The sequence below is a fragment of the Homo sapiens genome, chromosome 12 (genome assembly GCF_000001405.40).
Source record: "Homo sapiens chromosome 12, GRCh38.p14 Primary Assembly".
In the NCBI taxonomy this organism is placed as follows: Eukaryota; Metazoa; Chordata; class Mammalia; order Primates; family Hominidae; genus Homo; species Homo sapiens.
In genome coordinates, this window is record NC_000012.12 from 56,647,683 (window position 1) to 56,661,873 (window position 14,191).

Consider the following 14,191-nt stretch of genomic DNA (forward strand, 5'->3'; position numbering starts at 1 on the left):
GAAACCTTGTCTCTAAAAAATATGTAAAAAAATAAACACACACACACACACACACACAGACACACAATTAGCCAGGTGTGGCATGTGCCAGTAGTCCCAGCTACTGGGGAAGCTGAGATGGGAATATGGCTTGAGCCCAGGAGGTAGAGGTTGCAGAGAGCTAAGATTGCACCATTGTACTCCATGCTGGCTGACGTTGTGAGACCCTGTCTCAACAAAAAAAGAAAAATAAAAAAGAAGAAAAAAAAATTAGGGCTGAAAAAAATCCTCTGGGTTTGGGTTTGGCAACTAGGAAATCATTCCATGGTGGAGTGGGATCAAAACTAATTTCAGTGGACTGCATCAAAACATAGGATTTTGGCTGGGTGTGGTGGCTTACACCTGTAATCCCTGCACTTTGGGAGGCCAAGGCCTGTAGATCACCTGAGACCAGGCTGGCCAACAAGATGAAACCCGGCCTCTACTAAAAATACAAAAAAATTAGTCCGGGCGCGGTGGCTCACTCCTATAATCCCAGCACTTAGGGAGGCCAAGGCGGGCAGATCACCTGAGGTTGGAAGTTCAAGACCAGCCTGACCAACATGGAGAAACTCGGTTTCTACTGAAAATACAAAATTAGCTGGGTGTGGTGGCCTGTAATCCCACCTATTTGGGAGGCTGGGACAAAAGAATCACTTGAACCCAGGAGGCGGAGGTTGCGGTGAGCTGAGATTGCACCATTGCGCTCCAGCCTGGGCAACAAGAGTGTAACTCCATCTCAAAAAAAAAGAGAATATTGCATATTGCCACTGGAGCCAGGCTGGGAATCTTGTGTTTGCCACTCACTAGCTGTCATTGGGCAAGTTATTTAATCTCTTTACATCAGTTTCCTCATCCATAAAAGGGATACTACTACTAACAATGGGGATTATATCCTAGGATTGTTTTGAGAATTAAGTAGACTAATATAAGAAAGAAGCATTGAGAACAATGCCTGGCACAAAATTAGCCCTATATATACATGATATTATTATTTTTGTTTACTATTGACTAATGTCAATGTTATCCTATCCAATCCATTCAATAATTTGTTCCTCTCATACATTTTGTGAGCAGAGTCTGTTTAGTATAATGCCCTTGAAAAAGTAATATAGGGCAAATAATGTTGAGGATGTTTTTTAAATTCTAGACAATGTGGGTTGCTTAAAAAAAAAGCAGAGATGAAAAAGAAATCAAAATAAAGATTCCTTTTGTCATTTGTGAGCCTGTTATATCATATCTATGGCCTCATCTGTTTCTGACCTGAACAAGGATAATTTTACAGGCTGGGCATGGTGGCTTGCGCCTATAATCCCAGCACTTTGGAATGCTGATATGGGGGCATTACATGAGTCCAGGAGTTGGAGACCAGCTTGGGCAACATGGTGAAACCCTGTTTCTACAAAAATACAAAAATTAGCCAGGCATGGTGGTATATGTCTGTATTCCCAGCTACTGGGAAGGCTAAGATGGGAGGATGGCTTGAGCCCAGGAGGTAGAGGTTGTAGTGAGCTAAGATTGCACCATTGCAGGAGGCTACTCAGGAAGCTGAGGTGGGAGGATTGCTTGAGCCTAGGAGATGGAGGTTGCAGTGAGCCAATATCTGCGACACTGCACTCCAGCCTGGGCAACATAGTGAGACCCCCATCTCAAAAAAAAAGAGATAATTTTATATAAAAGTGAAGAAGCTCCAAGACTTCCTCCCTCTCCCAACCTTTCCAGCAAGACTTAATCTGATTTGAGAACTTTGGTTTTGTATCATCAATTTGGGTCTTGGCAAAATTAGAGTATTATTAACCATTAAACACATTACTCTGTCATTTTTTTCTTTTTTTTGAGATGCAGTATCAATCTTGTTGCCCAGGCTGGAGTGCAATGGTGCTATCTCGGCTCGCTGCAACCTATGCTTCCCAGGTTCAAGTGATTCTCCTGCCTCAGCCTCCCAAGTAGCTGGGACTACAGGTGCGCACCACCATGCCTGGCTAATTTTTTTGTATTTTTACTAGAGACAGGGTTTCACTATGTTGGCCAGGCTGGTCTCGAACTCCTGAACTCAGGTGATCCGCCCACCTGGAACTCCCAAAGTATTGGGATTACAGACGTGTGTCACTGCCCCCTGCCTACTCTGACATTTCTTTTTTTTTGAGACAGAGTCTTGCTCTGTCACCCAGGCTGGAGTACGGTGGCACAAACTCGGCTCACTGCAACCTCCGCCTCCCAGGTTCAAGCAATTCTCCTGCCTCAGCCTCCTGAGTAGCTGGGATTACAAGCGCACACCACCACACCTGGCTAATATTTTGTATTTTTAGGAGAGATGGGGTTTCACCATGTTGGCCAGGCTGGTCTTGAACTCCTGACCTCGTGATCCACCCACCTCGGCCTCCCAAAGTGCTGGGATTACAGGCATGAGCCATTGCTCCTGGCCTACTTTGACATTTCTTTTTTTTTTTTTTGAGTCAGAGTCTCGCTCTGTTGCCCAGGCTGGAGTGCAGTGGCATGATCTCGGCTCACTGCAAGCTCTGCCTTGCGGGTTCATGCCATTTTCCTGCCTCAGCCTCCTGAGTAGCTGGGACTACAGGCGCCTGCCACCACACACCCAGCTAATTTTTTTTTTGTATTTTTAGTAGAGACGAGGTTTCACCATATTAGCCACGATGGTCTCGATCTCCTGACCTCGTGATCCGCCCGCCTAGGCCTCCCAAAGTGCTGGGATTACAGGCGTGAGCCACCGCGCCTGGTGACATTTCTTAATCCAAGTTTCTAAGAAAAACATTCATACCAGGTAACCGAAGATCATCACTTTTTGAAATGTATCACACATTTGTCCTCTTATCAAATTACCAAGTAATTTAACTTTTCTTGGGTATTAGGGTTATTCATTCAACAAACCTTTTTATCACATTGCAATGCTAAATGCTTTCAGTGTTAATGAGGTGGGGCTCCATGGCTCACGCCTGTAATCTCAGCACTTTGGGACCCCAAGATGGGAGGATTCCTTGAGCCCAGGAGTTTGAGACCAACCTGAGCAATGTAGGGAGACCCCGTCTCTATTAAAAAAAAAAAAAAAAAAAAAAAGGGCCGGGCATGGTGGCTCACGCCTGTAATCCCAGCACTTTGGGAGGCAAAGGCAGGTGGGTCATGAGGTCAGGAGATTGAGACCATCCTGGCTTACGCGGTGAAACCCCGTCTCTACTAAAAATACAAAAAATTAGCCAGGTGTGGTGGTGGGCGCCTGTAATCCCAGCTACTCGGGAGGCTGAGGCAGGAGAATGGCGTGAACCCTGGAGGCGGAGCTTGCTGTGAGCCAAGATCACGCCACTGCACTCCAGCCTGGGCGACAGAGGGAGACTCCATCTCAAAAAAAAAAAAGTTAAAAGTAAAAAAGAGCTATTTCTCCATGAGACCATTAAGCTGAAGTTTGTGAACTCTTAATTTTTCTCACTCTGTTGCTATCAATGTTGGCCTTTAACAACCTCCTCTCCCTCTCCTCTGAAATCAGTTAAATTTATTAATATAAGTAATAATGTCTAAAATAGAATAAGCTTGATTAGCTCAGATTGAGATATGCCTTAACCAGCATTCTGAATAAATAATGTAATCTATTTTAGAGTTGTAACATGTTTTTGTCCTACATATTTTTTTTTGAGATGGAGTCTTGCTATGTTGCCCGGGCTGGAGTGCAGTGGCACGATCTCAGCTCACTGCAAGCTCCGCCTCCGGGTTCACGCCATTCTCCTGCCTCAGCCTCCCGAGTCGCTGGGACTACAGGCACCCGCCACCACGCCCGGCTAATTTTTTTGTATTTTTTTTAGTAGAGACAGGGTTTCACTGTGTTAGCCAGGATGGTCTCGATCTCCTGACCTCGTGATCCGCCCATGTCGGCCTCCCAAAGTGCTGGGATTACAGGCGTGAGCCACGGCGGCCGGCCTTTCCTACGTATTTCTTGATTGAGACCCAGATTGTCCAAGTGATATTTTATATAAAGTACAAGTCGGGGTGGCTGGCCGGGCGGGGGCTGCCCCCCACCTCCCTCCCGGACGGGGCGGCTGGCTGGGCGGGGGCTGCCCCCCACCTCCCTCCCAGACGGGGCGGCTGCCAGGTGGAGACGCTCCTCATTTCCCAGACGGGGCAGCTGCCGGGCGGAGGGGCTCCTCACTTCTTAGACGGGGCGGCCGGGCAGAGACGCTCCTCACCTCCCAGACGGGGTGGCGGTCAGGCAGAGACACTCCTCAGTTCCCAGACGGGGTCGTGGCCGGGCGGAGGCGCTCCTCACATCCCAGACGGGGCGGCGGGGCAGAGGCGCTCCCCACATCTCAGACGATGGGCGGCCAGGCAGAGACGCTCGTCACTTCCCAGATGGGATGGCGGCCGGGAAGAGGCGCTCCTCACTTCCCAGGCTGGGCGGCAGGGCAGAGGGGCTCCTCGCATCCCAGATGATGGGCGGCCAGGCAGAGACGCTCCTCGCTTCCCAGATGGGGTGGCAGCCGGGCAGAGGCTGCAATCTCGGCACTTTGGGAGGCCAGGGCAGGAGGCTGGGAGGTGGAGGCTGTAGCGAGCCCAGATCATGCCACTGCACTCCAGCAAAGACCAGTCAGGCGTGGCGGCACGCGCCTGCAGTCCCGGGCGATCGGCAGGCTGAGGCAGGAGAGTCGGGCAGGGAGGTTGCAGTGAGCCGAGATGGCGGCAGTGCAGTCCAACCTCGGCTCGGCTTCAGAGGGAGACCATGGAGAGAGGGAAGGGGAGGGGGAGGGGGAGGGGGAGGGGAGGGGGAGGGGAGGGGGAGAGGGAGAGGGAGAGGGACGGAACCTGAAGTTCTAGAGTGATGCAGGAGTTACCCCTGCAAGGATGGTTATGTAAAAATGTCAAAAATAAATGGAACCTGAATGGAAAAAAAAAAAAAAAGTACAAGTTATTTTTCACAGGGGAATAGGAACCACACAGACCCACCCAATCTGGTTTCTTATCTGAAGTTAATTCCAAATGACTGTGCTCTGTAATTTAAAATTCATCTTGAAGTGAAAATTACATTTTCCACCAAATCCTTTCATTACTGCTATCCACATTGGTCATACCCCCACATCCTTCCAGTACTCTGGTAATTGGTGGAATGTGTTTTTTTGGTCTCTACTACATTTCTTGACAATCATCCCGGATTATTTCAAATTCCACGAAAAGAACCCATTCAATGCCCTGGCTTCAGAGATCCTCAACCACTTCAATTCCAATTAGTTTTTCACATTCCCATTTCACATAAGCAGCCTACTTCCACAGCCATTCCCAAGTTGAAATATTCTCTTTCAGAAATCCAATATTCCTTTCTTAGGTCACAATTTGGAAGCACTATTTATTACACAAGTAACATATGAACATATTCTAGGTGTACAGGATGAGTTCTTTCACCATTACTTCCAAAACTTCCACTGTCCTTCCCAAAAATGACCATTGAAAAAACTTTTTGCATACATTCCACTCACTTTCTGTTTCATATACATATAATGCAGGGTTCCCCAGTGCCTGGGCCACAGACCAGTACCCGTCCATGGCCTGTTAGGAACCAGGCCACACAGCAGGAGGAGAGTTGTGGTCGAGTGACCAAAGCTTCATCTGTATTTACAGCTTCTCCCCACTGCTCACGTTACCACCTGAATTCTGCCTCCTGTCAGATCAGTGATGGCATTAGATTCTCATAAAAATGGAAACCCTATTGTTGCGGGAAGTCAGGGACCCCAAACGGAGGGACCGGCTGAAGCCACAGCAGAACATAAATTGTGAAGATTTCATGGACATTTATTAGTTCCCCAAATTAATACTTTTATAATTTCTTACGCCTGTTTTTACTGCAATCTCTGAACAGAAATTGTGAAGATTTCATGTACATTTATCACTTCCCCAATCAATACTCTTATAATTTCCTATGCCTGTCTTTAATCTCTTAATCCCGTCATCTTCATAAGCTGAGGATGTATGTTGCCTCAGGATCCTGTGATAATTGCATTATCTGCACAGATTGTTTGTAGAGCATGTGTGTTTGAACAATATGAAATCTGGACATCCAAAAGGAACAGGATGGCTGCGATTTTCAGGGAACAAGGGAGATAACCATTGGGCCTGACTGCCTGTGGGGCCGGACAGAACAGAGTCATGTTTCTCTTCTTACAAAAGCGAATAGGAGTAATACCGCTGAGTTATTTTTCTCAGCAAGGAACAGCCCTGAGAAAGAGAATGCATTCCCAGGGGGAGGTCTCTAAAATGGCCGCTCTGGGAGTGTGTGTCTTATATGGTTATAGATAAGGGATGAAATAAGCCCTGGTCTCCTGTAGCACCCCCAGGCTTATTAGGATTAGGAAATTCCTGCCTAGTAAATTTTAGTCAGATCGGTTGTCTGCTCTCAAACCCTGTCTCCTGATAAGATGTTATCAATGACAATGTGTGCCCAGTGGGACATGAAACTTCATCAGCAATTCTAATTTTGCCCTGGTCCTGTGACCTCACTCTGCCCCTATTTGCCTTGTGATATTTTATTGCTCTTGAAGCATGTGATCTCTGTGACCCACACCCTATTCGTACACCCCTCCCCTTTTGAAATCCATAATAAAAACTTGCTGGTTTTGCAACTCAGGGGGCATCACGGATCCTGCTGACATGTGATGTCTCCCCCGGACACCCAGCTTTAAAATTGCTCTCTTTTGTACTCTTTCCCTTTATTTCTCAGACCGGCTGACACTTAGGGAAAATAGAAAAGAACCTATGTTGAAATATTAGGGGCTGGTTCCCCTGATACCCTATTGTTGTTTTTTGTTTTGTTTTTTGTTTTTTTTTTTTGAGACAGAGTCTCGCTCTGTCGCCCAGGCTGGAGTGCAGTGGCATGGTCTCAGCTCTCTGCAAGCTCTGCCTCCTGAGTTCATGCCATTCTCCTGCCTCAGCCTCTGGAGTAGCTGGAACTACAGGCACCCGCCACCACGCCTGGCTAATTTTTTTGTATTTTTTTTTAGTACAGACAGGGTTTCACCATGTTAGCCAGGATGGTCTCGATCTCCTCACCTTGTGATCCACCCGCCTCAGCCTCCCAAAGTGCTGGGATTACAGGCGTGAGTCACCGTGCCCTGCCGGAAACCCTATTGTTAACCGAGCAAGCAAGGGATCTAGGTTGCACACTCCTTATGAGAATCTAATGCCTGATGATCTGACACTGTCTCTCATCACCCTAAGATGGGACTGTCTAGTTGCAGGAAAACAAGCTCAAGGCTCCCACTGATTCTACATTATGGTCAGTTGTATAATTATTTCATGAACCATATCCCCCACCCCCATCCATGGAAAAATTGTCTTCCACAAAACCGGTCCCTGGTGACAAAAAGGTTGCTCACTGCAACCTCCACCTCCCAGGTTCAAGCAATTCTCCTGCCTCAGCCTCCCAAATAGCTGGGATTACAGGCACATGCCACCAGGCCCAGCTAATTTTTGTATTTTTAGTAGAGACGGGGGTTTCACCATGTTGGCCAGGCTGGTCTCGAACTCCTGACCTCATGATCCGCCTGTCTCAGCCTCCCAAAGTGCTGGGATTACAGGCATGAACCACCGTGCCTGACCCTAGTACTCCTTTAATACATATTCCTAAACATGTTGGCTTAAAATATGCTCACTTAAATAAGATTCTGCCAAATTGCCTTCGCAAACCATCTTGCTAATTTACCAGGTTCCCAGCATCTTTGCCAAAACTTTATTTTTAAAGGTGGCTAATATAATGAAATTATTGACTTAATTAACTTTTTTTGAGACGGAGTCTTGATCTGTCACCCAGGCTGGAGTGCAGTGGTGCGATCTTGGCTCACTGAAACCTCTGCCTCCTAGGTTCAAGTGATTCTCCTGCCTCAGCCTCATGAGTAGCTGGGACTACAGGCTCCCGCCACAATGCCTGGCTAATTTTTTTGTATTTTTAGTAGAGAAGGGGTTTCACCATATTGGCCAGGCTGGTCTTGAACTCCCGACCTCAGATGATCTGCCTGCCTTGGCCTCCCAAAGTGCTGGGATTACAGGCATGAGCCACTTTTTTTTTTTTTTTTTAGACAGGGTCTTGCTCTGTCTCCCAGGCTGCAGTACAGTGGAGTGATTACGGCTCACTGCAGCCTTCGCCTCCTGGGTTCAAGTAGTTCTTGAACTAGAACCTCCCAGGCTCAAGTAATCCTCCCACCTCTGCCTCCCGAGTAGCTGGGACCAGTCATATGCACACACCATCAGGCCCTGCTAATTTTTGTAAAGACAGGGTTTTGGCTGGGCATGGTGGCTCACGCCTGTAATTCCAGCACTTTGGGAGGCTGAGGTGGGCGGATCACAAGGTCAAGAGATCGAGACCATCCTGACAAACATGGTGAAACCCCGTCTCTACTAAAAATACAAAAAATTAGCTGGGCATGGTGGTGTGTGCCTGTAGTCCCAGCTACTTGGGAGGCTGAGGCAGGAGAATCGCTTGAAACCACCATAAGGTGGAGGTTGCAGTGAGCCAAGATCATGTCACTGCACTCCAGCCTGGGCAATGAGAGCGAAACTCTGTCTCAAAAAAAAAAAAAAAGGGGGGGTTTCAACATATTGCCCATGGCTACCTTCAAGTCTGGTGGTGGGACGGGGGTAGCTCAAGCAATCCATCTTCCTTGGCCTTCCAAAGTGTTGAGATGACAGGCATGAGCCACCACGCTCAGCTCTAATGGCTAGTAAGATGGAATATTTTCATGTTTGTTGGTCAGTTGTATATCTTCAGTTAATTACTTGTTTCCATCTTTTGTCAATTTTTTCCTTTTGGCTTGTCATGATTAAGTGTTCTTCAAATGCTTTGTTAAGCATGTTGTAAATGTTTTCTTCTAATGTTATCTTTTAATTTAGTGGTATGTTTTGACCTATTATTTATTTATTTTTTATTTTTTTGAGACGGAGTCTCGCTCTGTCACCCAGGCTGGAATGCAGTGGCACTATCTAGGCTCACTGCAAGCTCCACCTCCTGGGTTCACACCATTCTCCGGCCTCAGCCTCCCGAGTAGCTGGGACTACAGGTGCTCGCCACCACGCCCGGCTAATATTTTGTATTTTTAGTAGAGACGGGGTTTCACCATGTTAGCCAGGATGGTCTCGATCTCCTGACCTCGTAACCCACCTGTCTCGGCCTCCCAAAGTTCTGGGATTACAGGCATGAGCCACTGCGCCTGGCCTGTTAATTTTTATTATTATTATTTTTTGAGATGGAGTCTCACTCTGTTGCCCAGGCTGGAGTGCAGAAGCGCAGTTTCGGCTCACCACAACCTCTGCCTCCTGGGTTCAAGCAATTCTCCTGCCTCAGCCTCCCAAGTAGATGGGACTACAGGCATGCAGCACCATGCATGGCTAATTTTTGTATTTTTAGTAGAGACGGGGTTTCACTATGTTGGCCAGGCTGGTCTTGAACTCCTGACCTCGTTATCTGCCCGCCTCGGCCACCCAAAGTGCTGGGATTATAGGCATGAGCCACCTCACCCAGGCTTATTTATTTATTTATTTATTTATTTGTGAGACAATGTCTTGCTCTTTTGCCCAAACTGGAATGCAGTGGTGGGATCTCGGCTCACTGCAATCTCCACCTCCCTGGTTCAAATGATTCTCCTGCCTCAGCCTCCCGAGTAGCTGGGATAACAGGTGCCCACTACCATCCCCGGCTAATTTTTGTATTTTTAGTAGAGATGGGGTTTCATCCTGTTGGGCAGGCTGGTCTCAAACTCCTGACCTCAAGTGATCCACCTGCCTTGGCCTCCCAAAGTGCTGGGATTACAGGCATAAACCACCTCGCCAGGCGACTTTTCTGAGATGGAGTCTCACTCTGTTGTCCAGACTGGAGTATGGTGGCACGATCTCAGATCACTGCAACCTCTACCCTCTGGGTTCACATGATTCTCATGCCTCAGACTCCCGAGTAGCTGGGATTACAGGTTTGTGCCACCATGCCAGGCTAATTTTTTGTTTTTAGTAGAGAGGGGGTTTTACCATATTGTCCAGGCTGGTCTGGAATTCCTGGGCTCTAGCAATCCACCTGCCTTGGCTTCCCAAAGTGCTGGGATTACAGGCGTGAGGTACTGTGCCTGGCACATTGACCTATGTAATTTTTGATGTTAATTTTCTCTGTAGTATCCAAATTTATCATGCTTGGATTTCCCCATATCATCTTAGGCAAGTAAGAATTTGGTTAATGAATCATCAGTGGACCTGAAACCACCTACGTCAGTATCATCAAACTCTGCACTATCTAATATGGTAGTAACTAACCATATAGGATTATTTAAAAATTTTTGTTTTGTTTTTTGAGACAGGGTCTCTGTCACCCAGATTGGAGTTCAGTGGCATGATCTCAGCTCACTACAATCTCTGTCTCCCAGGCTCAAGGATCCTCCCACCTCAGCCTCTAGAGTAGCTGGGATCACAGGCATGCACCACCACACCATGGTTTTTTTTTTTTTTTTTTTTTTGTAGAGATGGGGTTTCACCATATTGCCCAGGCTGGTCTCCCTCCTGAGCTCAGGCCTTGGCTTCCCAAAGAGTTGGGATTACAGGTGTGAGCCATGGTGCCCAAACTGGATTATTTAAATTTAGTAAGATTTAATGTAATGGTTTTTTTTTTTTTTTTGAGACGGAGTCATGCTATGTTGCCCAGGGTGCAGTGGCACGATCTCTTTTCACCAAAACCTCTGCCTGCCGGGTCCAAGCGACTCCTCTGCCTCAGCCTCCCGAGCAGCTGGGACCACAGGTGCACACCACCACGCCCAGCTAATTTTTGTATTTTTAGTAGAGACAGGGTTTTGCCATATTGGCCAGGCTGGTGTCGAACTCCTGACCTCGTGATCTGCCCACCTTGGCCTCCCAAAGTGCTGGGATTATAGGCGTGAGCCACCGCACCTGGCCTGTAATGATTTTTATTTAAAAATCATTTCTTAATTGCACTAGCTTTTCAGGTCCTCAGTAGCTCTATTTGGCTAGTAGTTACCTATCGGACACTGGATATATGGAACATTTCCTTCATCACAAAACATCACACTGCACATGGCTATCTCAGTAGGACCAACCGAATGAGAACCTACGTTTTAGATCCAAAACAGTAATGAGACTTTGGCATACATCAGAATCACCCGGAGAGGCTTGACAGATCACTTGACCCCACCTCCAAAGTTTCTGATTTAGTAGGTCTATTTGGGGGCCAGAATTTGTATTTCTAATGAGTTCCTAGGCAAAACTAATCCTGCTAGTCTGGGGATCACATTTTAGGAATCACTGGTTTCTAGTTATCAATAATATTCCAAATCCCTGGCCCCACATGGACAAGCTTATCTCAGAGATAAGACCTAGGAATCCACATTATCACAAAAAACTCCATGATTTTGATTGTTTGAGAATAGGTTCAAGATGAATCACAGCGCAATAGAAATAGGGAAGTAACTAAAGCTATAAAGGCTAATTAGCTGTGAGGCCAGAGAAGGAACAGTGGTTGAGGGGCAGTTAGACTGCATGACACTTAGTTGTAGTATAAGCAGCTTTGCAGTTCTTTCACTCATGATGATGAGATACATAATGGGAATGGGTTGCTAAGTACTCAACTGAAGGCCATTGGATTTGAGATTAAGAAATTTAGGATTGGGGCTGGGCAGGGTAGCTCACGCCTGTAATCCCAGCACTTTGGGAGGCCAAGGTGGGCAGATCACCTGAGGTCGGGAGTTTGAGACCAGCCCGACCCACACAGAGAAACCCCATCTCTACTAAAAATACAATATTAGCTGGGCTTGGTGGCGCATGCCTATAATCCCAGCTACTTGGGAAGGCTGAGGCAGGAGAATCTCTTGAACCTGGGAGATGGAGGTTGCAGTGAGCTGAGATTACGCCACTGCACTCCAGCCTGGGCAACAAGAGCAAAACTCCGTCTCAAAAAAAAAAAAAAAAAAGAAAAGAAAAGAAATTCAGGATTGGCCTGGCACAATGGCTCAATCCTGTAATCCCAGCACTTTGGGAGGCTGAGGTGGGTGGATCACTTGAGGTCAGGCGTTTGAGACCAGCTTGGCCAACCAGGTGAAACCCCATCTCTACTAAAAATACAAAAATTAGCCAGGAGTGGTGGCACATGGCTGTAATCCCAGCTACTCAGAGAGCTGAGGCAGAAGGATCGCTTGAACCTGGGAAACAGGCTGCAGTGAGCCGAGATCATGCCTCCATGTCAAAAAGTGACTCCGTGTCTAAATAAATAAATAAATAAATAATTTAGGAGTGAGTTCTGGATAAGTTCTTCACATGAACAATGAAATTACCCAGACTGACAATACAACTTGCGAACAAATGATTTGTCACTTTAGACTATCTGGGAAGAGCAAAGCAAGCCTGGCAATATCATTATTTTTTTCTTTTTGAGATGGAGTCTAGTTCTGTCCCGTGGGCTGGAGTGCAGTGGCTTGATCTCAGCTCACTGCAACCTCCACCTCCTGGGTTCAAGCAATTCTCCTGCCTCAGCCTCCTGAGTAGCTGGGATTACAGGCGCATGCCACCATGCCCAGCTAATTTTTGTATTTTTAGTAGAGACAGCATTTCACTGTGTTGGCCAGGCTGGTCTCCAACTCCTAACCTCATGATCTGCCCGCCTCGGCCTCCCAAAGTGCTGGGATTACAAGCGTGAGCCACCGCACCCGGCCAAGCCTGGCAATATCTTAAATGAGTTGTCACCAAGCCTTATTTGACCACCTACATATACCTGGATTCCAGATCCCATTACCATTGCCTAAATTTAGCCCTTCATCTCTTACCACTTGAATTACTGCACAAACTTGTTTCTTTACCTCCAAATCCACCTGCAAAACATTACTCATGCTATGGTATTTCTGAAATGTATTTCACCATACTGTGTTGAGGGAAAGATATTTGGTGGCGATATACGACGCTTTTTACTAGCAGGAATAGACATTCAACATTTAATTGTGGTCAATGTTTAAATGAAACCCACAGATCAGCCTGGCCAACATGGTGAAACCCCATCTCTAGTAAAAATATAAAAATTAGCTGGGCATGGTGGCACACGCCTGTAGTCCCAGCTACTCGGAAGGCTGAGGCAGGAGAATTGCTTGAACCTGGGAATTCAGAGATTGCAGTGAGCCGAAATTGTGCCACTGCACTCCAGCCTCAGCGACAGAGCGAGACTCTGTCTCAAAAAAACAAAAAACAAAAAAACACAATTGTCCCTTGGTATATTCCAGAGGAGTGGTTTCATGACCCCTCCACCACCAAGCATACCAAAATCAGACAGAACCCTCCGTATTCATGGGTTTGGCATTTTACAAATACTGTATTTTTGACCTGCATTTGGTTGGAAAAAATCCACCTAAAAGGGGTTCAAACCCATGTTGTTCAAGGTTCAAGTGCTCAAGGATGACAGAATGTAGGGGTTAGAACAGGCCTTTACAAAAATCCTTAGAATTCACTGTTAAAATTCTCCATCCTACTGCCACCCTAGAACTCCATTTCAGTTGTCCTCTTATTTGCACAGGCTGCTAGATTCGACCAGGAAGTCCTACTCTGTATTCCCTATTACACCCTTAGTTATCAATTTATTTAATCACTATCAAAGCAACTAGATGTTAAGTTTTTCACAAAGTGCCAGCCTCCTCCCTACCTAGCCTACATCTTTTCCTATTTGGTACAATGCTGGGTGATCCACAAATAAAAAATTGTATTTTCAAAAATTTCTCAAAAGAATTCCTGCTAAACAGGAGAAATTTCAATTAGCTTAGAACTAAAATGGGGGAGAAAACCTTCATGCTACTGTAGCAATCACCCTCAATCTGCCCTCCTTGGAAATAGCTAAGTTTAGGGAACCGTATAGCACCAATATCACAACCTATCAATATGGACAAAAAATATGCTATACCCATTCATCTAAACTTAAAAAATTTCACTCACAATCTTAAATTGATCATTTTTTTTTTTTGAGAGGGGGTTTTGCCATGTTGGCCAGGCATGAGTCACCACGCCCAGCCCAGAACATTTTTTGAGACAGTCTCGCTCTGCCGCCCAGGCTGGAGTGCAGTGGCGCCTCAATGGTGTGATTACAGAATTGAGCCACCTTGCCCGCCCCAGAAAATGTTCTTAACAGAAGCTTTGAATTAGAGATGAGGTACAACGCACA

General features: G+C 46.5%; 3 annotated features.

Annotated features, from left to right (window-relative positions):
• Positions 10,285-10,334: an enhancer, noted in NCBI's record as "active region_6511". NCBI's record gives its function as "activates an Ori minimal core promoter by ATAC-STARR-seq in GM12878 lymphoblastoid cells {active_cell/tissue: GM12878}" and the evidence as "EXISTENCE:reporter gene assay evidence [ECO:0000049][PMID:35858748]".
• Positions 12,789-12,989: a silencer, noted in NCBI's record as "peak1743 fragment used in MPRA reporter construct". NCBI's record gives its function as "represses an SCP1 promoter by STARR-seq MPRAs in K562 erythroleukemia cells {active_cell/tissue: K562}" and the evidence as "EXISTENCE:reporter gene assay evidence [ECO:0000049][PMID:32103011]".
• Positions 14,101-14,150: a silencer, noted in NCBI's record as "silent region_4563". NCBI's record gives its function as "represses an Ori minimal core promoter by ATAC-STARR-seq in GM12878 lymphoblastoid cells {active_cell/tissue: GM12878}" and the evidence as "EXISTENCE:reporter gene assay evidence [ECO:0000049][PMID:35858748]".